This window comes from Homo sapiens, chromosome 7 (genome assembly GCF_000001405.40).
Source record: "Homo sapiens chromosome 7, GRCh38.p14 Primary Assembly".
In the NCBI taxonomy this organism is placed as follows: domain Eukaryota; kingdom Metazoa; phylum Chordata; class Mammalia; order Primates; family Hominidae; genus Homo; species Homo sapiens.
In genome coordinates, this window is record NC_000007.14 from 30,043,115 (window position 1) to 30,066,704 (window position 23,590).

Below are 23,590 nucleotides of genomic sequence, written 5' to 3' on the forward strand. Positions count from 1 at the left end.
CCTCAACCTCCTGCTGGGACCACAGGTGTATGCCACCACTGTCGGCTAATTTTTGTATTTTTATTAGAGATGGGTTTCGCCATTGTTGCCCAGGCTGGTCTGGAACTCCTGGCCTCAAGTGATCCACCCATCTTGGCCTCCCAAAGTAGTTAATATTATAGCTGTGAGCCACCGTGCCCTGCCAGCATCACCTTCTGAAATAAAAATTTACAAGTTCATCCCAAGAAGTTTGCCAGCCAGGAACTGATTTGTGCTAGTGTAGAGATAAGGCCTAAGGGTTCCTGACCTGCAATAAAGGGTCTAGGTCTCTGGGAAGGAAGTCCTCCATATAAAATATAATAAGAGCAAAAGCCATAGTTTAAGAAAAGATTACTTATCTTTGGTGAGAAGATAAGTTCAGATATTATGGGAGAGTGGATGCTGGGAATTAGTGTTTATTTAGTTTTATTTAAAGAAGTAAGAGACATGGTACCTGGCAGTCCTGAGTATTGCACTTTCTGGAAAAGCAGACCCTGATTAAGTAAATGATGAGCAAAATATGTTGCCTACCTACCCAACTCCTTCACATAGATTTAGTGCTGACTATTCAGGCTTCTGATTACGGTGTAGTTCCTTGTTCCATAATCTTGGGCTGGGGGTGCTCCAGGAAGTTCAGTAGCCTCCTATTAAAACGTAATAAAGTGATACCATTGGTGTCCGGCCCACTTGGTTTGTGTGAGTCAAACCCCAAGGGCCCATCAGATGTCTGTAGCTGAGCAGCCCTTGGGGCTCTGCCTTCTCTCTGGCTTCCTTAGCCATGGCAGTCCTATGAGAGAAATGTATCCCTAAAGGGCTGTGGCATTTCAGAGAAAGAAAAGAACTGCATCTGACTGAGGAGGACTGAGAAAACAAGGTTTACGCAGAGATAGTCAGGGATGATTTTTTTTTTTTTTTTTTGAGACGGAGTCTCAAAAAAGATCTCGGCTCACTGCAACCTTCGCCTTCCGGGTTCAAGCGATTCTCCTGCCTCAGCCTCCTGAATAGCTGGGATTACAGGCACTTGCCGCCACGCCCAGCTAATTTTTGTATTTTTAGTAGAGATGGAGTTTCACCATGTTGGCCAGGATGGTCTCCATCTCCTGACCTCATGATCCATCCACCTCGACCTCCCAAAGTGCTGGGATTACAGGCGTGAGCCACCACGCCTGGCCAGGATGACATTTTATGAAGAGATCCAGTTGGAGCAAAAGTTCAGAGACAGAAATACAGCAAATGAGTGGTTTGACTAGAACATAGGGTGTGTGAGAGGACTAGATAAGATGCGTATTTCTACTACACATGGTTTGTCCCCTGAAATTCTCCAATATTGAAGTGAATGTAGTTAAGCCTTGAATGTTTTAAGATAACTCATTTCAATGGATCAATACTAAAGAATAAGTCAAACACGTTACCTTTTCCTAAGGGTCATAGGATTCTAGACAGGCTTCTTAGTTGGCACTCTCTATGACATTTGTTGAAAGGACCTTGTCATCTTTGTTGCCTTATTTCTAAGTTTTGGATAATTTTTCTTAGAAGAGAGGAAGGCAAGCATGTGATAACAGTATGTTCAGGACATCCTAATTATTCGTCTTAGAAAAAGTAAAAATCACAGACTACTGGTACTGTATTAGGAAAGAAATAGAATACACATCTCATTTATTTCTGTAAATCCTATTACCTAGAGAGTCATTAGTGTACTTGTTGCTTATCCTTCCAGACTTCTGTAATCCTGTGACTAAAAAATATATACTTCTTTGGGCATTTTTAATTTTACAAAAATGGGATAAAACATACAGGTCTTTCTAACTTAATTCTTTCTCTTAGAATATCCCTGGCAATGTAAAGCTCCTTGGAGCTAACCCAGTATCCTATGTTAGGCTCTATTTCTGTATCTTGGGAGGTAGTTCATACACAGGCAGTAATTGCAATGATGCTCTTGCTTTTGTTTTCAGGTTGGCAGCCTCGATGGTTCCTTCTCTGTGGGGGAATATTGTCCTATTATGATTCTCCTGAAGATGCCTGGAAAGGTTGCAAAGGGAGCATACAAATGGCAGTCTGTGAAATTCAAGGTGAGAAATCAAGCAACTTGCAAGTTTTATTTTTCTTTCTGTTTTCCCTCAAAAACAAAAAAGCCCCTGGCCCCTGCATACCTTTCTCTGCTGCTCCCATAATACAGACCAAGGGACATAGTGTTATGTGTCAAAAGAAAGCCTTGCAAATACAACCCAAAACTGTAGCCAGCTTTTATGAGGAGATTGGCTAAGAGGTGGTCAAAATAAATGAGAGCAACGTGTTTCACTACTCAACTAGCACTCATTCCTTAGTGACCTGCTCACTTGGGACCAGTGGCTATTAGCAAAACTTAAAGTCTTTACTGCAGCATCAAACACTTTTGTGTTTAAATCAGGATGGACACACACACACACACCCTCCACCAAAACAAAACAAGCAAAAACTTAACAGACTTTCAAATAGTCTTTACTTCTTGTTTTTGTCTTGAGACATGCTGAGAAGGTGTGGCTCGGAAGAAAAACAGATTAAATGGGAATTTAGGTAGTGGATGTGGGTGAAAGACTTTGGTTTGCTTGTTTCTTCTCCTAAAGGCCTCTGAGAAAATTCTCACACTTTTGGTCTGACTTTTCAAGGGAAGTAGAAGATGGAAAAGATTGTATTTTTGATTGTTTCCCAATAAATCCAAGGAGATAAAAAACATACCCTTGTTTCTTGGCCTCAGAGCAGCCTACTTAACACACACACCCACTGAAAGAAAGATTCCTTCTCTATTCTGATAAGAGATCAGTTTAACTGAAAAGTTAAATTGGTGATTCTTGTTTGGGCTGAAGTTTTTGTGATGCCTTGGAGGCAATTGCAAGGTTTTCCCTCTTGATTAACAGAGACATCTAAGATGAGATAAGTAAACAGAACTTTGTGTGAATTAGGAGAGGTAATGACTGGCATCCTCTTTGGGAAGAAGCCTTCAATGACTGCCATCAATTAAGCTCAAGAAGTTGGGTGGGTTGGAGGCTACCCAGACAGGGCTCTTCTGAGTCTCTGATCTCCCTCTGTCTTGCTCCCAGTTCATTCTGTAGATAATACACGCATGGACCTGATAATCCCTGGGGAACAGTATTTCTACCTGAAGGCCAGAAGTGTGGCTGAAAGACAGCGGTGGCTGGTGGCCCTGGGATCAGCCAAGGCTTGCCTGACTGACAGTAGGACCCAGAAGGAGAAAGGCAAGTACTGATTGTCCTTTGCTGTGGAAACCTTGGGAATCACCCACTGGCATCTCTGATTTCCCTTATTTGTTATCTTGCTTCTGACCACCTAGCCAGCTTTTTGTGTCATGCAAATGCTGTGTATCTTAGTATAATTTAAACCAGGGTCCATATCTAACTCTTCTTTCTTGGCATAGCATAGTGCAAAGAATGCAGGCTTTGGAGCCAAACACAGCTGGGTACACATGATGGCTTTGCAGTTTATTGACTGTATAACCTTGGCATCGGTCACTTAACCTTTCTTACTCTTAGTTTCTTCATCTTTTAAAAAGAGGTAATAGATCCTACCTTAGGAGGATTACCATGAGAATTAGTGATGATAAAATGGTGGAGTATCCAGTCTGTGGCCAAACTTGACCTTTGGTGAGGAGTAGTTGAGCCAGATAAGCCTTGGATCAGGGTGTTTTCTGTAGCAACACCCTGCTCCTCCTCCCTTTTTTTCTGGGGTGGGATGGATGCTTAATTGTCAGGTTCCTGTTGCTTAATGCTCATTCACTGGACATTGTTAAGTTCTCCAGAGAACTGTGGCCCAGCTTTCTCTTTGGACTGGGGCAAGAATACCAGGGCTTACTGCCTGGGTCCTAGTTGCTACCTTCCCTGCCCCATGGCCCTAAATGTACCCTGAAGAGATGAGCTAGGGTGGGGTGAAATGGGAAAAAGTGTTCCAGGGAACATCTCTCATGACAGGTGTGGCAGTTGTGCTTAACTCTTCACGTAGATTCATAAATTGGCCTCTTCTTTTAATGCTAAATTGGTAATAAATTCTAGAAGCTGTTGGCTTTGACTCAGAGCAGATAGTAATGTGCACTTTTTTTTTTCATGAAGAAGGAAACAGAAAAGTGATAATAATTGTAGCTGAGCCCTCGATGCCAGGGTGACTGGAGAGCATTGCTAATAATAATGGCTGGGTGCCATTAGCCTTGACAAGGCAGCATACCAAACCAGTCCTCAGCTGAAATTATGAACGGTGTTCTTAGTGGTAATTGGACACTGCAGAATGTTTTTCCCAGGTAAGAGTAGAGCACTGCATTAGTAAGTAAACAGCTATGACCCCATTTTATAGATAGGAAAAACTCTCTGGCAGAACTGAGGCCAAAACTCTGAACCCCTTAGCTCTGCTCCCAGTTCTGACAGGAGTGGGTCAGACTATATTGTCTCCTTCTTTGTATACTGGTGATTATTCGGTATATTGCCTTAATAAATAATGTATACTACTTTGAAAGACTGGAGATCTACTTTTTCTGGTTTTTCTTGTTATTATGTCTTCACCTGTCACATTTGCAACCCATACTTTAAAGATTTGACTTTGGGCATATGTTCTGTGTGGTATCCTAACTAGTAAGGATTCCTCTTCTGCATAGTATCCTAACTAGTAAATCAGTTGTTTGTTCTGGTTACTGCATTATCATCATTTTGTCATTTAGAGTTTGCTGAAAACACTGAAAACTTGAAAACCAAAATGTCAGAACTAAGACTCTACTGTGACCTCCTTGTTCAGCAAGTAGATAAAACAAAAGAAGTGACCACAACTGGTGTGTCCAATTCTGAGGTAAAATATTATTTATTAATATTATTAATATACATGAATAATATAAAAGAAGTGACTACCAGTATATCCAATTCTGAGGTAAAATATTATTTTATTAATATTACTAATATACCTAAAAAGCACCAGACGTTGCTTACAGGTGGTGTTTACTCTCATCTAATTTTTTGACTATCTTGGAATTTACTATTTTATAGAGGAAAAAAGTAACAAAATTAAACAAAGAGAAGCAATAGTACATTTCATCATATGCGTGTGTATAGCTTTCCTTCCTGGAATAAATTAGGGATTAATTAATTGATAATATTTGGAACCTTTAACTTTAGTACTGTCATACTAAAATATGTTTCTCTCCAGTTTATATTGTTTTGTTAATTACAGTCTTGCAGAGCCATTTCTATAGCTATGGCTATTAAGATGCCAACTTATTGTCTTTCATTGATGTGCATCTATGAGACTAACAGTATTTTGTTTTACCATCATAACTGTGCTTTGGAATAGACTAGTGCTTTCAAAGATGGAGACACAGCTTTTTTTCTCTTCATTGTCAGCAAGGATTGTGATTTTTAGCATTTATTAATACAGTCATTATTCATTTATTTTAAAACATATATTAAAAGATTTCTCTGGTGTTAAGCTATGTATAGAATGGCTCACATTAACCAGAGTCTCTGCTCTGCTTTCAAAGAAGTTTCGATCTGACAGTGCAACTGCAGATTATAATGAAAGATTTTCATTTATTAGGTAGTAGAAGAACACTATGCTACTGGTAGTACATGTGTTTCGAGTTTTTCTAAAAAAGGTGATTTAACCCACTTGCATTCACTTCCTTTTGGGTGCTCTTACTCATTCAGCAGCTGCCTCATATGTGTGAGATAGACTGTGAGGGGAGGGGGAGGGAAGATGAAGGATACCAAAAAAGCATTTCAGTCCTGCTCTTGGGAAGTTTATAGTCTAGAGCAGTGATTCTCAAGGAGAGATACTTTTGGTTGTCATGACTGAGGGAGTTACAACTAATACAATGTAAATTGAACCACTTTACTACCTAAGGCTTTCAGCAGCTCCCTCATTGCTTGTAGGTGAAAGTCAAATAGTGCTGATAGTTACTTGATTAATAGATAAATTGGGCTTTTCTTTTATAACTGATGTACATATTTCAGCAGGTGGGTACATTATTATTATTTTGTGGGCAACCTCTAAGGACATTCCACAATTGGGCTTTTTCTTTTTTGGCAAGGTAAAGGAGTCTTCCACTCTGGTTGTTTCGTAGGAGGGAATTGATGTGGGAACTTTGCTGAAATCAACCTGTAATACTTTTCTGAAGACCTTGGAAGAATGCATGCAGATCGCAAATGCAGCCTTCACCTCTGAGCTGCTCTACCGCACTCCACCAGGATCACCTCAGCTGGCCATGCTCAAGTCCAGCAAGGTAAAAGTCCAGCTCAGTTTGGCTGCAACAAGGCATCAAGAAAAGTTTCAAAGTTTATAGTGAGTTATGTTCTCTATTACCCTTTAGTGACTTATAAAGACAGTTTTTTAATGGACTTTGCTCTACGTCCTTTTTTTATATCTGTCCTCAGCACCCCATATCCAGTCAGTTATTTGTGGCAATTTTACCACCTAAACATGTTTCTAATGTAGCCTCTTTCCAACCCCTTGTCAGTGAGTCTTGCCTAAAGTTGTGATAGTCTTCTAACTATTAATAGTTGCTTTCAGCCTGACCCTTCCAGTCAACCACATTTCTATTAATGCAGTATAAATTGAACCACTTAACCTAAGCGTTTCCAGTGGCTCCCTCATTGCCTGTAGGTTAAAGTCAAAACTTCTTAACCCCTTCCCACATTACCAGCTCTTTCCCTGTCTTCACCTAGCTTGAACATATTCATTGCTTGTGTTAATAATTCCTTCCACTCCTTTGTGCCGTTTTCCAGTGCCAGGAATGCTCTTCACCTCTCTTTCCTGGATTAGCTCATACACATCCTCAAAGACTTAGTCTCTTCTTCCCTGAATCACTAGATTGGTCTAAAAGCCTCTCTTATACATATTCCTATTTTATTTATATTCCTTGTTTTGTACTGAAATGATTTTTAGGGCAGGAACCCCATAGTGTCTACCTTTATACCTCTAGTATTTGATATAATACTTGTGTCATAGTTTGCTGCTTATTAATGTTTAATGAGCATAACTGAAATTACAAAGAAATCTAATCACTGAGTTTGACTGTGATAATTAGGTCTGTCAAAAGATCATCTTCCTTTTCCTTAGAAATGTATTTGTAAGGAATACATTTGTATAAATAAGAAGGACTAGTTGGAATCAATGACTCTCTTTTGGGAAGACCTAAAATTGTTTTTGTTTAGTGGGGCTAGTGTATTTTATGGTCATATGGTCATATTTACCATTTTGTATGTAATAAGATCATAAATATGCTCTGTTCAAAGTTTAACATGTGAACTTTCCTTTCTTTGCTTCTTTTAAAGATGAAACATCCTATTATACCAATTCATAATTCATTGGAAAGGTACAGTAGCTTTTTTCTTCTTGCTAAAAATTAAAAAAAAATAAGGATATTGTTATTCCTTGTTTAAAAAAAGATACTTTGATCTTGTAATGGTTTTTCTCAGGATTTGAAATAATATGGAAGTAAACAATATCTGACTTTCCTCTTTTGAGTGAGCCTGAATCAACCCAGAGCAGACCTTTTACTTAGCACTAATAGGGAAGATGTTGGCATTTTCCCTAAGATGGATCTCACCCATCACATCTAGTAACTTTTAATCTCTCTAGGGTGTACTTAAGGTAGAAACTTCTCTTGTAGAGGAAACTTCTCTCTGAGCATTGTTTTAAGGGTGCTTTTATCTAGAAATGATAGTAGTGCTATTTTGTTGTGTTTAAAAATAAAAATCTTAGGTAGCGTTGCAGGTTGAAAAATAACCTACTATCAAAATCTAAACTATTTCTATTCCCTAAATGCTCCTTCAATTTTTAAGATGATTTAACCCATGAAAGTGGGCTAAATTACTATAGCCTCAACATCGTGGGCCCAAGCAATCCTCTTACCTCAGCGTCCCAAGTAGCTGGGACTATAGGTGCATGCCACCATGCCTGGCTAATTTTTGTATTTTTTGTACAGATAGGGTTTCACCATGTTGCCCAGGCTGGTCTTGAACTCCTGAGCTCAAGCAATTCACCCGCCTTGGTCTCCCCAAGTATTGGTATTACAGGCTTGAGCCACTGTGCCCGGCCTCAAATTATTTAATAGTTCATCTCTTTATATACTATTGCTTACTTCTTTATTACAAGGATTGTTCCCAATTTAGTTATTTCCAGTTTTCTCCTGTTCTAAATATTCTTACTAGGAGCATATTTGTAGGTTTTTTGCAGTTGTTGAGGTCTTTGCCTCTATATGCTCCTACATTTTGAATTACTAGGTTGAAATATGGTTTTTTTTTTTTAAGAAAATAGCAAATACTTTTCCTGTAGTTACTATGTAGCTTGGACCCTTCCTTCTTATTTTTATTAGAAGAAAATATTTTTGTTCTAATTAGGCTAGGTATAATCACCTAATCATAATGATAATATATTATGATCGTTCCTTTAACCGATAGAATTACCTGTTCTACTTGCATGTTAATTGGCTTTTTCTGTTACCCTAATGTGCTGACATTTCCCTCAGGATGTGATGTGGTCCTCCTGGGTTTTTTCTCTCAGACATACTTTATAAGGAGTACTCTCCCTGGCTGGGCATGGTGGCTCACGCCTATAATCCCAGCACTTTGGGAGGCCGAGACGGGTGGATCACCTGAGGTCAGGCGTTCAAGACCAGCCTGGCCAACCTGGTGAAACCTGTCTCTACTAAAAATGCAAAAATTAACTGGGTGTGGTTGCAGGTGCCTGTAATCCCAGCTACTCAGGAGGCTGAGGCAGGAGAATCACTTGAACCCGGAAGGCAGAGGTTGCAGTGAGCCAAGATCACACCATTGCACTCCAGCCTGGGTGACAGAGCGAGACTCCATCTCAAAATAAATAAATAAATAAATAGACAGTTACTGGCCGGGCAAACACAGAGAAATGGCCAGTGGTGTAGAGAGAGAGAAGAAGCCCCCCAGGGAGAAGTTGAGGAAAGTAAAGTGTGCAAAGTGGCACCGGAGAAAACTGATGGAAAACCAAAGAGCTGTCAATGACTATTTCCTGATGCTGCTGGGGAGCAGGAAGATTGGGACTGCTGAGGTGCTGGGAAAGCCATTAATGGCTCTTTGATTTCTAAATTGCAGCCTTGAGGCTGGACTGCTCCCATCACAGGCCTTGGAGGCAGAAGACTGGGAGGTTTGGCTTGATTTAACAATTCTTTCAGTGGATGTTGAAAGGATAACATCTACCTGGGCAGTCAATTTATGACCAAGCTTGGCGAGGTGGCTCATGCCTGTAATCCCAGCACTTTAGAACGCTGAGGTGGGAGGATTGCCTGAGGCCAGGTGGTCAAGACCAACCTGGGCAACATAGTGACACCCCATCTCTACAAAAAATTAGAAATTAGCCGGGCATGGTGGCAGGCACCTGTAGTCCGAGCTACTCAGGGTGGAGTGCTGGGCTCAAGTAGGAGGATTGATTGAGCCCAGAAGATTGCAGTGAGCTGTGATTGTGCCACTGTACTGCAGCCTGGGTGACAGAGTGGAGACCCTGTTTCAAAAAAAAAAAAAAAAAAAAGACCAAATAACGACCTTCTGGCTTTTTTTCCTTTTAAAAAATTTGCAGGCAAATGGAGTTGAGCACTTGTGAAAATGGATCTTTAAATATGGAAATAAATGGTGAGGAAGAAATCCTAATGAAAAATAAGAATTCCTTATATTTGAAATCTGCAGAGATAGACTGCAGCATATCAAGTGAGGAAAATACAGATGATAATATAACAGGTAAAAACAAAAGTAAAGTCTGAAACAAACCAATTTTAGATGATAGAAAATTTGGGAATTTGATGAATATCCATGATAGGGATTAACCTCAAGACCATGTAGTAGTGTCTGCTAAGGAGGATATTGGCTGGGTAAGATAAGTCATATGACTGAACAACATTCTTTCATCCAATCTGACCTGGTGTTGAGAAGGCAGAGTGAAAAGAGGAAGATTCCTGCTCAGTGTTCTTGGCTGTGTTCATGGGCTGCAGTGAGCAGAGGGCCTTCAACCCTGTATCTTAAAAGTCCTTTGAACTTAGATTATGATGTTATACGTAACAGTGTGTAAAATTACAGCAGTTCAGTTTTTCATCCTCCCGGTTTCTGTTGGGCCTGAGGATGTCAGAATTCACCAGTCACCATGAGGTTTCTACGCAGTCTTCTCTGTTTATCAAGCCAAAGTCCCACATTTCAGGTAATAGGTTTGTAGTTCAAATATGCTAATCCCTTGGCACTAATCACTGAAATCTACTTTAGATCAAAGACAACTATATTAGAGCTTTTAATTGTGTTATAAGAACTTAATAATTTGAAAATGAAATTAAAATTTCCTTCCATCTACCTTGAAATAAGAGACCTTATTTTTTCTCGATGAATTGGGGAGCAGTGTGGGAGTTGAGGGAAGGAGCTGTGTATTCTTAGCTGTTAATCTGAGAGAGACAATCCACACATCATTGGAGCCTTATCTCTTGGGTAAATAATAAAGACAGAAGAAAATATCTGTCAAAACAGTGCAGTCATTTATTTGCTCCTATAATTTTGCTTCTAGGAATTGTTCTTCAGTGAATAGTTAGATTTAAGGAGAAAGACCTATTGATAGGGATGTTCTTTGTGGCATTACAGTCAGTTCTCATTATTTGCAGTAGTTAGGTGTTATTGAGTCACCATGAGCACTAAATTAGCAAATACTAAACTCTTGCTCCTGGGGGAAATACAAGGTTAGGTTCCTGCAAGACTTTGGTCACAAAATTTTTGTCTACCAATCAATACATAACCTTGTTTTATGTGTGTTTTCATTTAAAGACACTTTAATATGTATTGTTGATTCATTAACATTGAACTCACGGTGAACAGCACTATTACTCATGCTTGAATGAGGCTTATCTAACACACATCTTTTTTCCATAAGGCACATCACAGCCTTTTTGTGGGTAGGAACGCTAGACGGTACTATACTTGGGAGCCCTTTTAAACAGCAAAAACAATAAAATGCACAAACATGCATAAAATGTGGCACTAAGTAAGGACATTTGTCTATACTATGAGAGCTGAAACAAGAAGGCAGAACATCACATTGCTCTACCTCAGCTAGGAATATGTGTGTCCGGCAACAAAGTTTTCACCACTTTGCACGTGTCCACAAATGTCTGCAAAAGTGCCGCATGTATTGATTTTGGGGTTACAAAATAAATTTTAGCAAGTAGACAAATTCACAAATACATATAGAATGTGCTAATAATGAGTAGTGATTGTATTTATAATTGTAAAATTTTGGAAGCTACCTAAGTGCCCCTCATGGATATGATACAATATAACATGGTCATTAAAATCATGTTTTTGAAGGGTTGAATGATAATGAAAATATTCATGATACATTGTTTAGTGAAAGCAAGCAGGATTCAAATCTACACATACTTCAAGTTTTGTTTGTGTGTGTAGATGTATGTTTATGTATATGTGAATAGTGTTTCATGAATTTTTATTTCTATGTATTTTTCTGTGTTTTAGAAATTTTCAACAATCAATATGTATTTTTATAATAAATATATAATAGGTTAGTAATAGATATTTTCTACTTTGCAGTCCAAGGTGAAATAAGGAAGGAAGATGGAATGGAAAACCTGAAAAATCATGACAATAACTTGACTCAGTCTGGATCAGACTCAAGTTGCTCTCCGGAATGCCTCTGGGAGGAAGGCAAAGAAGTTATCCCAACTTTCTTTAGTACCATGAACACAAGGTATTCTAGACTCTTTAATATCACTGATGCTTGGATACTAACTTCCATTCTGGAAAATCAGTCATGGTGTTCCTTTCAGGTGATGGCATATTCTAGGAGAATAGAGAATGTGGTATACCAAGTACCTGCTTTACTGTTTACTCTTTCTTACCAATGAATAAGAAGGAATTCATTGTGAAGTGTGCTCTGTGAACAAATGTTAGCTTGCTTTGGTGGATTATCTTTGGAAATTTATTTTATGAGACCATATTAGAAAAACAGTTACTGGGGCATATCAAGTCAAACGATTTGCCCTACAGAGAGGCAGCTGTGTCTATGACTTACCTCTGAATTGCAGAGTGCTGATACTGTATTTTCAATCTTTTCTCCTCCATATCACCAAATTATGTAGCTTTAGTGACATTGAACTTCTGGAAGACAGTGGCATTCCCACAGAAGCATTCTTGGCATCATGTTATGCTGTGGTTCCAGTATTAGGTAAGATTCCTGCAGTTGCCTTACATTCATTCATGTCTAGAATCTGCCTCACTGTAGTTATTTTGCAGGAGAAATACCCCAAACTATGTGTACAGTGAGATGACCCTTGGCTATTTGTTCAAATCACCAGACACATACAGTTAAAACTGTGTGACCTTAAGCATTATTGCATATTCCCATTTCATTTCTAATAATGATTAAATATTGACCTCAAAATAATGTAATTTAAAAGGGGGATCTTTCTAGAAACCATACATAAAAGTAAAAAAAGTATTTGAGGAATAGACCTTCAAATATATTGGCACTGTGAAAAAATGTGTTTTACCAGTTAAAACTTTTTTGAGACAGGCTCTTGCTTTGTTGCCCAGGCTGGAGTGCAGTGGCATGATCTCTGTTCACTGCAAACTTCACCTCCCAGGCTCAAGCAATCCTTCCACCTCAGCCTTCTTGGTAGCTGGACTATATGCGCATGCCCGGCTAATTTTTGTATTTTTTGTGGATATGGGTTTCGTCATGTTGCCCATACTGGTTTGGAACACCCGGGCTCAAGTGATCCTTCCCTCCCAAAATGTGAGCCACCATACCCAACCAAAACATATTTTCTTTTTTTTTTTTTTTGAGACGGAGTCTTGCTCTGTCACCCAGGCTGCAGTGCAGTGGCGGGATCTCCACTCACTGCAAGCTCCGCCCCCCAGGTTCATGCTGTTCTCCTGCCTCAGCCTCCCGAGTAGCTGGGACTTCAGGTGCCTGCCACCACACCTGGCTAATTTTTTTGTATTTTTAGTAGAGACAGGGTTTCACTGTGTTTGCCAGGATAGTCTTGATCTCCTGACCTCGTGATCCGCCTGCCTTGGCCTCCAAAAGTGCTGGGATTACAGGTGTGAGCCACCACGCCCGGCCTGCAAAACATATTTTCAAAGATTTTTAAAGATATATTCTCTCTCTCTCTCTCTCTCTCTCTCTCTCTCTCTATATATATATATATATATAAATAACATATATATAATATATATAACACATATATATATAAATAACATATATATAATATATATAACACATATATATAACATACATATATATGTAAATAAATAAAATGTATGTTATGGCTGGGCACAGTGGCTCACGCCTGTAATCCCAGCACTTTGGGAGGCTGAGGTGGGCGGATCACCTGAGATGAGGAGTTTGAGACCAGCCTGGCCAACATGGTAAAACCCCGTCTCTACTAAAAATACAAAAATTAGCTGAGTGTGGTGGCGCGCACCTGTAATCCCAGTTACTCAGGAGGCTGAGGCAGGAGAATTGCTTGAACCTGGGAGACGGAGGTTGCAGTGAGCCGAGATTGCACCACTGCACTCCAGCCTGGATGACAGACAGCCTGTCTCAAAAAAAAAAAAAAAAAAGTGTGTGTGTGTGTGTGTGTGTGTGTGTGTGTGTGTGTGTGTGTATATATATATGTTATGTGTATATATATGTTATGTATATATATGTTATATATATATTTAATAGATAAATATATCTGAAAATTTATATGTAACATTTAAATTATATGTAATTTATATCTAACAAATACATAATTTTATATATTATATATAATATATATTTATATATATAAAAAAGTTTATTTAGGTCAAATTCACTTTTACTTGTATAAAGTCAGTAATACCAACAATGGCTAATGTGTTGAAATTTGCTTTATGACCCATTTAACTATACATCTTTTGTAAAAATTGAGGTATAACTTGCGTAGGTCTTAACTGTTATGATTCAGTGAATTTTGACAAATGCATCTACCTCTCTAATCCATATCCTTATCAAGAAATAGTATGTTTTCATCACCCTGGAATGTTCCCTGTGTCACTCAGCCTGAAATAACCATTTTATTGATTTCTGTCACCATAGGTTAGTTCTGCCTATTCTAAAACTTGATATAACTGGAATATTATACTTTTTTGCCTCTGGCTTTTCTCATACAGTATGTTTTTGAGATCCGTCCTTGTTTTCTGTATCAGTAGTTCGTTCCTTTTTATTGCTAAGTAGTATTCCATTAAATGAATATACCACAATTATTTATTCACTCTCTTATGGATGGACTTTGGGCAGTTTGTAGTTTGGGACTCTTTTTTTTTTTTTCTTGAGACAGAGTCTTGCTCTGTCACCTAAGCTGGAGTGCAGTGGCACAATCTTGGCTCACTGCAACCTCCACCTCCCGGGTTCAAGTGATTCTCCTGCCCCAGCCTCCCAAGTAGCTGGGGTTACAGGCCTGTGCCACCATGCCTGGCCAATTTTTTTTGTATTTTTAATAGAGACAAGGTTTCACCATGTTGGCCAGGCTGGTCTCAAACTCCTGACCTCACATGATCTGCCCACCTCGGTCTCCCAAAGTGCTGGGATTACAGGAGTGAGCCACTGCTCTTGGCCAATTTGGGACTATTATAAATGAAATTGCTCTAAACATTTTTGTGCCTATGGGCCTATGCTTTCATTTCTCTTGAGTAAATACCTAGGACTGGAATTGCTGGTTCATAGTTTAACTTTATAATAAACTGCCAGACAGTTATAATGGTTGCACAGTTGTTCATAGTGTATGAGTATTTTAGTTGTTTGACTTCTTCACCAGCATTTGGTAGTGTCAATATTTTGTTTTTGGCATTCCTGAATGTTTTAGTGGTATTTCATTGTGGCTTTAATTTGCATTTCCATGATGACTAATGATATTGAGCACTTTTTTTTTATAATTATTGGCCATCCCTATCTCTTCCATTGTGAAATGTCTGTTCAGATCTTTCACCCATTTTTAAAAGTTAATTGTTTTTCTTTTTATTACTGAGTTGGGAGAGTTCTTTATATATTCTTAATTAAAATTCCATTGTAGACATGTGAATATTTTCCCCCAGAGCATGGCTTGCCTCCTCCTTTTCTTAATGATGCCTTTTCAGAAGTTTTAAATTTCCATGAAGTCCAGTTTCTTCTTTTATACTTAGTGCTTTTAGTGTCTTAAGAAATCTTTACCTATCCCAAAGGTCATGAAGATATTCTGTTTTCTTCTAGACTCTTCTAACTTTTACATTTGTGCCTATGAACCACTGGAATTATTTTTTGTGTGTGGTGTGAGGTAGGGAGTTGAGGTTCTTTTTTTTTTTTTTTTTTCCTTGTGGTAACTGGTTGCTCAAGAACCGTGGGTCAAAATATGTTTTCCTTTTTACATTGCTTTGGCAGCTCTGTCAAAAACCAATTGAACTTATAATGCTTATAATATGGGACTGTTTCTGGACTCTCTTTTCTGTTCCAATGATCTTATGGTGTCTTAATTATTATAAGGCTTGAAATCAGATAATGTAAGTCTCTCAGTTTTTTCTTTTTCAAGATTGTTATGGAAATTCTAGGCCTTTTGATAAATTTTAGCTGTTCAATTCCTATTTAAAAGCTTTTTAGGATTTTGATTAAGATTACATTATATCTCTAAACCAATTAGGGGAAAGCTGACATCTTAAACAACATCGAAGGCTGGGCTCACTGGCTTATAACTGTAATCCCAGCACTTTGGGAGGCCAAGGCAGGAGGATCGCTTGAAACCAGGAGTTTGATCCTGGCCTAGGCAACAAAGTAAGACCCTGTCTCTATGAAAAAAATTAGCCAGGTGTGATGGCGCAAGCCTGTAGTCCCAGCTACTTGGGAGGCTGATGCAGGAGAATCACACGAGCCTGGGATATCAAGGCTGCAGTGAGCCGTGGCTGCACCACTGCACTCCATCCTAGTTGACAGAGCAAGACCCTGTCTCAAAAACAAAAGCATTGAGTCTTCCAATCCATGAGGATGCTGTATCTATTTACTTAAGTCATTTTAATTTTCTCTGAAGAATGTTCTATCTAGTTTTTAGTGTATAGCTATCATATTCTTTTGTTAGGAATAAGTTTTAGAATTTTATTTTTTTATTCTGTTGTAAAAAGTGTTTTATTTCATTTTCCGATTATTAATAGCATGTACATGCAAATTATGTTTATATGCTGAGTTGTTTTTATAATCATGAATGAGTTAACTTCATAAAATGCTTTTTCTGTATTTGCTGAAGTCATTTTTTTCCTGTAATTTGTTAATGTAATGAATTACATTGTTTGGATGAATTTCATTCATTATCTTGGTATTTGTTTCTATCATCTTGCTACTTATTTTCTGCTTTTCTCTGTATGTTCTTTGTTCCCTTTTTACTCCTTTCCTGATCTCTAGCCAGTTAATCAATTTTTTTTTTAGTATTCTGTTTTATTTCCTCTTTTGGCCTCTTAGCTACCTATCTTTGTCCCTGCCTTTCTTTTAGATCAATCAAGTATTTTTTTTTTTTTTTTAAGAATTCCTCTATCTTTTCTCTTTTGGCTTTTTAGCTATACCTCTTTGTTTTATTTTTTAGTCATTGTTCTTGCCCAACAGAAATATTCAAACCACATATGTAATTTTAAGTTTTCTAGTAGGCATATTAACATAGTAAACACAAATTAATTTTAATTATTTTAAAACCTAGAATATCTAAAATATCTTAACATGTAATAAATATAAAAGAATCATTGGGCCGGGCATGGTGGCTCACGCCTGTAATCCCAGCACTTTGGGAGGCCGAGGCAAGTGGGTCACAAAGTCAGGAGATCGAGACCGTCTTGGCCAACGTGATGGCACATGCCTGTAATCCCAGTTACCTGGGAGGCTGAGGCAGGAGAATCGCTTGAACCAGGGAGTCGGAGGTTGCAGTGAGCTGAGATCATGCCACTGCACTCTAGCCTGGTGACAGAGCGAGACTCCGTCCCCCCAGAAAAAAGAATCATTAATGAGTCTGAGCATGGTGGCTCACGCCTGTAATCCCAGCACTTTGGGAGGCTGAGGTGGGCAGATGACTTGAGATTAGGAGTTCGAGACCAGCCTGGCCAACATGGTGAAGCCCGTCTCTACTGAAAATACAAAAATTAGCTGGGCGTGGTGGTGGGCATCTGTAATCTCAGCTACTCGGGAGGCTGAGGGAGAATCGCTTGAACCTGGGAGGTGGAGGTTGCAGTGAGCCGAGATCATGCTACTCCACTCCAGCCTGGGGACAGAGCGAGAGACTCCATCTCAAAAAAACAAACAAACCGAAAGAATCATTAATGAGATATTTTGCAATCTCTTTTTCATACTCAGTCTTCCTAATCTGGTACGTATTTTACTTCCAGTACATTTTGGTTAGTACTAGCCACGCTGCAAGTACTAACTAGCCACATATCTGGTGGCTACCATATTGGACAGTGCAGCCCTAAGGATTACTATATGAATCCTAAACTTATAAGATTATCTTCATCTCACCTGTCACTTAGGGCCTCATTATAACTCACCTTGGAGTAGTGTAATAGAAAAAGATGGTAATAGTATCCTGGGAGCTTTTGAAGATTATGTTTAGATAAATGATTTGGAAGCAAAAATTAAAGTTGTTGGGGATCTGCTAAATTTATTATTACTTTATTATAAAAAATATTGCCACTTAAAAATTGCTTTTTCAGAAATGTTTTTAATCTTTTCTTCTAGACAAACTTGGCCCTACAGTGTTTGCTCCTGTTAAGATGGATCTTGTTGGAAATATTAAGGTGAGCATACTGGTTTGTCTCTGTGGAAACTTTTAAATAAAGGAAAATGTTCTCAACATTTTTGTGCTTGGCCAGAATAAATCAAAAAGTGAAAAATGTGTCACTGTTCTTTTAAGAGAGCAAGCATCTTTCTTCTCACACTGTGAATGCTCAGTAAGGGAATTACTAAGCCTTTATTATATGCTAGAGTTAAGCTTTATGGGGAGTAGAAGATTCATTTTTAAAATGAAACCAGGACTGCCTTTTCATGTGCACCGTGTGGATCAGTAGGGTTTCACTCTAATGTCCACACTGATTCTGTGCTTTTTTAGGTTTAAATGGTGATAAGTTATATTTTTCTAAAAGATAGGTTATATAGTGAAAATAGCTGTCAGTGGTCTGGGACTCAAAAGGCCCATTTCCAGTGGTAGTTGTGGGACCATCAACAACTCACCAAATCTCTGAGCCTCTTTCTTCCAGGTAAAATAAGGGATGGGTCCCCTTTTAAATGCAGATTAAATGTTACCTTCTTGAGGATACAGTGCCCAATAAAAATCTTTTTTGTCATTGGAGACTAGTCTTTGAGGAAGCACTATTAGGAATTCCTGTAGGTATACCTTTCTTTATTGTATTTAGGTGGAACAGTTGCAAGTAGTCTCATTAGAACAAATGATTGTTGAGTTTTATATTCAGAGTGAAAAGTATCTGCCAAAGACAAGCATGAGAGAGGTTCTGAGGCAGAAAAAATAACTTTAAGAACAAAACTTTAAACCCTGAGACTATTTAATTCCAGTTTAAGCTACATAGAATTCTCCAAAACAAATACTATCATGAAAACATAAGGAAGAAGGTAATAGGAGCTTAATTTATTTTCTTAGAGGCCTGCTTGCCAAACTTACAAGTCTCCAGACTATACTGAGTTGCTTGATAACTTCAGCATTTTAAACTTAGGTTGTTTCCCTGCTTTCCCTCCAGAAAGTAAATCAGAAGTATATAACCAACAAAGAAGAGTTTACCACTCTCCAGAAGATAGTGCTGCACGAAGTGGAGGCGGATGTAGCCCAGGTTAGGAACTCAGCGACTGAAGCCCTCTTGTGGCTGAAGAGGTGAGGCAGCTGGGGTGGGACAGCAGTTAAAATCTAGCTCAAAAAAAATTACCAGCAAAAAAAATTGTTACACAAAGGAGACTACTTCTGAGTGAAGGATCTAGTTGAATTGTGTAGCCTTTTCTAGAAGGCCTAATGAATAATACCACCTTATTTTTTTTTTGCCTCTCTTTTGATGGTGATAAATATTGTTGATAAGTATATATAAGATAGGAATCTTAAAGGCATTAAAGTCAACTGGCTTCTCTTTAAATCAGTGGCTCTCCAACTTCAGTGGCATCAGAATCATCTGGAGGACTTGTTAAAAACACTAGACTCGGAAACAGTTTCTGATTCAGTAACTCGGGTGGGGCCCCAGAATTTGCATTTCTAGCAAATTCCCAGGTGATGCTAAAGCCACTAGTCCTGGGACACATTTTGAAAACCACTTCTTTAGGTATATCAGATGAGATGAAAGATGGGCTCCAGAGCAAGCTAAAGGGAAGTGAAGGGAAGAGGTTCAGGAAGGACTGCCATATGATTTGACCTATTCACTGCTGTGCCTAAGATGTTACTGAAATGGAAGCTGATGTCTGCCATTTCTTTATACCCACTCAACATAAGTGAACTTTGAAAATAATATTTCTTCCTTTATTTTGTTTTAGAGGTCTCAAATTTTTGAAGGGATTTTTGACAGAAGTGAAAAATGGGGAGAAGGATATCCAGACAGCCCTAAGTAAGTGTTCTTTATGTTTTGTTGAATGAGTCAATAGACTGTGGAATGGAGACCCCTAGAGGAGGATACAGGGTATAGGGGATATTTCTGCTTTTCAGAATTTGATTTTGTTTCTTTTCTTATTTCATTATTATTCATTGCTTCTTATATGCTTTGTTTAAAAGTACCTATGAGACAATGACCTGGTAATCTAGATGTAACTTACTAAAAATCAGTATATTTTAAAGACGTGCTGAATAAGTGGAAAGCCATCTCTTAAACATAATAGGAAGACCTAATATTATCAAGAAGTTAGTTTTCCTAAATCTTCAAATATATTATAGTCTTTGAAAATCAGTATACAAAGAAAAGCTTGAACACCATAACAGCGGGTTGGCGTGGGGGAATCCCAGGGATTTGTTCTGGAGTAAGAGTAAAGGTTTTCGTCGTCGTCGTGTAACTCCTCAAATATATAATGCTGTGTGCGTCCCAGTTTCTAGTCATAAAGCCAAAATGGGATGAAGGGCTTGGTCAGAGGAGATCATCTTATATCTCCAGCACCTTAAAGTAGTGACTGCAACATTGTAGGTGCTTAATAAACATTGGACAGGTAGGTAGATGGATGGATGTGTGGATAGAGCCATTTATCAGACCAGTTTTGGAAAATGTTGAGATTGGGGAGCATCCTTAGAGTGCTTCTAATGGAGTGGCTGAACTCTCACCATTGATCTATAGGAAATTCTTCTAGCATGGGCCATGAGGCGTGTGTGGAGAAAAAAATGAACTGTGACATAAACTAATTAGATGCTTCTGGTTTGAGAGGGAGCTAGTGTTCTCTGTGGCTTTTTTTCAGTGTCACAGTTGGGTTCTACCTCCTTCTGTTAGTCCTCTCTCTGGGCCATGAGTCCTCAAGAATTCTGCCCCCACGTGATTTCCCGAGTCTGCCCCATCTAGCAACTGCTGATCTGCCATAAAAATGAGAGCTGACATTTCTATAGCACTTTGTGAACAATGTAGACTTCATAAACTTAATCCTCATTTCAATCCATTTTTACAGGTTAGGGAACTGTAAGATTAAAATATTGCTTAAGACCAGCATAAGGTCTGAAGCAGAGTGGCTTTGAGGCCCCTGCTTTGAAGGTCCACATTTCTCCTACAAAGGGTCTTTTCCACCATTCCTGGGCCACCTGCATTTTTACATTCCCCATACATCCCTGAATTTCAGGATGGTCTCAGTTATATTCTCCCCTCTGTGTCCTGATTTCAAGTACTAAAAGTATATTCAGCATGTCTACTCATGCCCCCTAGCCAGTATCTGTCAAGCTTTATGGCTTGTGGAGTGTAGGATCAGGAGCTCTGGAGTGGCTCTCTGGATTCTGCCACTTATTAGTGCTCTGCCCTTAGGCAAGTTATTTAACCTCTCTGATCCTCACTTTGTTCATCTATAAAATGGGAATGGTGATATTATTTCCCTAACAAGGTGGTTGTAAATATTAAGTAGGTGCATGTGCATGTGAAAAAATTACAGAAGTATTTGGTACGCAAAACACTCAGTGTGGCCGGGTGTGGTGGCTCATGCCTGTACTTTCGGAGACTGAGGCAGGAGGATCACTTGAGTTCAGGAGTTTGAGACCAGCCTATGCAACACGGCAAAACTCCATCTCTACAAAAATTAGCTGAGTATGGTGTTGCGTGCCTGTAGTCCCAGCTACTTAGGGGGCTGAGGTGGGAAGATTGCTTGAACCCAGGAGGTCAAGGCTGCAGTGAATTGTGATCATGGCACTGTACTCCAGTCTGGGCAATCGAGTGAGACCAGACCCTGTCTCAAAAACAAACAAACAAACAAAAAAACAATGCTCAGTCGTCAAGATTAGCATCTATTGTTGTGATAATGATGTTTTGTCATCATTATCATAATCATGATATATGAAGTTAATAACCTGCCAGAAAATAAGACTTATTTGTCCCACATCAGTAATGGAAAGTTTACAAAGCTTAGGTGCCAAGCCAGAAACTTCACTTCAAACTAACTTATTAGTATGGAATTTTCATGCTAGCAGAAAGACTTCTCCACCTGTTGGAAATGCAGAAGATACAGGGTTTAGCACTGTGTGCCCAGTGGACTCCGCTTGTCTCATGCTGCTATTACTTTGTTAGGGCTGTCTATGGAAGGGGAGTAGGACAATGCTGATCCCATTTAGCCCACTGGAAGAGCTGGGGTGGAACGGAACCCAGCTGCTTATGGGCTTTGACCCCCCTAGACATAGAAAGGAAACAGGATATACCATTTCTATCCAGTCCCAACCCCAATTCTGCCCACTTTTCTCTCTCCTTTTCTCCTCAAGGTTTCTCATCAAATGTTGTACTTGATTTGGAGACTGGGCCCAGGGGATGTATTGACTTTGTGAAGAAAGAGGAGACTTTGAAGGGCAAATGCTGCTTTGTGACTGCAATAATCACAGCCAGTCTCAGCTTTTTCTTCCCTCTCTTCTCCTTCGGCACAATTTTCAATGGAAAAGAGAAGGGAGGCTGTAAATTTGACATTTTTGTCCTGATGTTCAGGCTTATTTCAAAGAAGGTGTTTATGATTTAAATCCTATCTTTGTGGAAATCCCTAGTTTCTTGCTGCTGCTTAGTATGAGGAGATAAAGTTCCCCTATTAAACCCACCCTCCCTCCAAAGTTCCCCTGTTAAACCCACCCTCCCCTCCCACAGACACAGACACAACAAGCTCTGCGTAAACGGTTTTTTGAGAAATGTTTACACAATAGTTACTCAGAACCTGTAGGCTCCTTGATGCATATTTCTTCTGGGATAATGGTTCCTTTTTCTCATTTTGAAGTCCCAGCCTTCATAAGTAGAACTGATACCTTGTTTGAAATGAGGGAGGGTGAGTGAGTAGGTAAAAGAGAGTGTGTGCAATTTATATGCCATATATAGGCAAGTTTGTTGGCTTTTTTAAATTCTAAAGTTGAATTTAAAAACAGCTATCACTTACAGAGCACCCAGTGTAACTACTACACTAAGTTTTTGATAAATATTTTATTTAATCTTCCAAATACTCTCCAGTGAATAAACTGAGGTTTAAAGAGGATAAATACCTTCCCTAGGGTCTCAAAATCTCCATCGGTGGTTCTCAAGCTGTTCCAAGGTCAGCAGCATCTTTATCACCTGAAAACTCATTAGAAATGCAGACTATCCGGTTCCACCCCAGACCTGCTGAATCAGACACTGAGGCTGGGGCCTGGCAGTCCGTGTTTTAACAAGTCTTTCAGATGATTCTAATCCATGCTGAAGTTTGAGACCTAGTCATCTAGACTTAGGCCTTTGAGGTTCACCTGTCACTTGTCTACATCTTGATAATTTTGTGATTTTGACTGCATCTAAGAGATTTTTAATAAGCAGGAGTAAAACTGCTGAAATTAGTTATAGCATCAGTTTATTTTCCTCCTTTTCATCATAATTAGACAGCTTTCCAATAAAAATACTGCTTAAGTAAGGTTTGAGGTGAATGTTCATGAAACTTGTATGGTCTTAATGGCCTTGGAAATAGTACATTTATATGTAGAAGTCCTAAATAACATTGTAGAAGCCTTGTCTCCTTTACCTTTCTGGAAAATGCATCTCTAGTTATTGTATTGCTGCAGTTCTGTGACCTGGAATACTTCCAGCATCTGGAAGGAGCCTTAGACTTTACACTGCCCCTTTTTGCACTTGAGCCATCACTTGGCTTCCCCATAATGATAATCAGAGTGGAACATTTTGGGTGGTTTCATGCTAAGAGCTGCTGTGTTCCCTTAGTGTCCTAACATTCTTTAGAGGTCATTTTCAGGAGGGAGTTGGGTTCACAAGGCAGATATGTTTAATAATCTGCTTTAGAGCTGAGTCCCCCTCTCCATTGCATATTCCACATCAGAAAGAGGTTTTGGAAAGCATCCTTGCAAGTGGAAGGAAGAAAAGTTGCTCTGGCATTTCATGCACCA

At 39.0% G+C, this 23,590-nt stretch overlaps 1 protein-coding gene across 13 annotated transcripts in view; it reads left to right on the forward strand.

Moving 5' to 3' along the window:
• PLEKHA8 (pleckstrin homology domain containing A8) overlaps nucleotides 1-23,590 on the forward strand; it is a 102,072-nt gene that overhangs the window by 14,703 nt on the left and 63,779 nt on the right. For 9 of the 13 annotated variants that reach the window (NM_001350973.2, NM_001350974.2, NM_001197027.2 and 6 more), the window contains exons 2-12: nucleotides 1,971-2,087; nucleotides 3,096-3,251; nucleotides 4,718-4,842; nucleotides 6,110-6,268; nucleotides 7,320-7,360; nucleotides 9,595-9,752; nucleotides 11,595-11,751; nucleotides 12,143-12,228; nucleotides 17,770-17,828; nucleotides 18,783-18,913; nucleotides 19,558-19,628. In NM_001350973.2, coding sequence (NP_001337902.1) covers nucleotides 1,971-2,087; nucleotides 3,096-3,251; nucleotides 4,718-4,842; nucleotides 6,110-6,268; nucleotides 7,320-7,360; nucleotides 9,595-9,752; nucleotides 11,595-11,751; nucleotides 12,143-12,228; nucleotides 17,770-17,828; nucleotides 18,783-18,913; nucleotides 19,558-19,628 — 1,260 coding nt within the window. Of the gene's footprint in view, nucleotides 1-1,970; nucleotides 2,088-3,095; nucleotides 3,252-4,717; nucleotides 4,843-6,076; nucleotides 6,328-7,319; nucleotides 7,361-9,594; nucleotides 9,753-11,594; nucleotides 11,752-12,142; nucleotides 12,229-17,769; nucleotides 17,829-18,782; nucleotides 18,914-19,557; nucleotides 19,629-23,590 lie in introns of those variants that run through there. The other 4 variants (NM_001350975.2, NM_001363474.1, XM_011515596.3 and 1 more) reach the window with 4 other exon arrangements.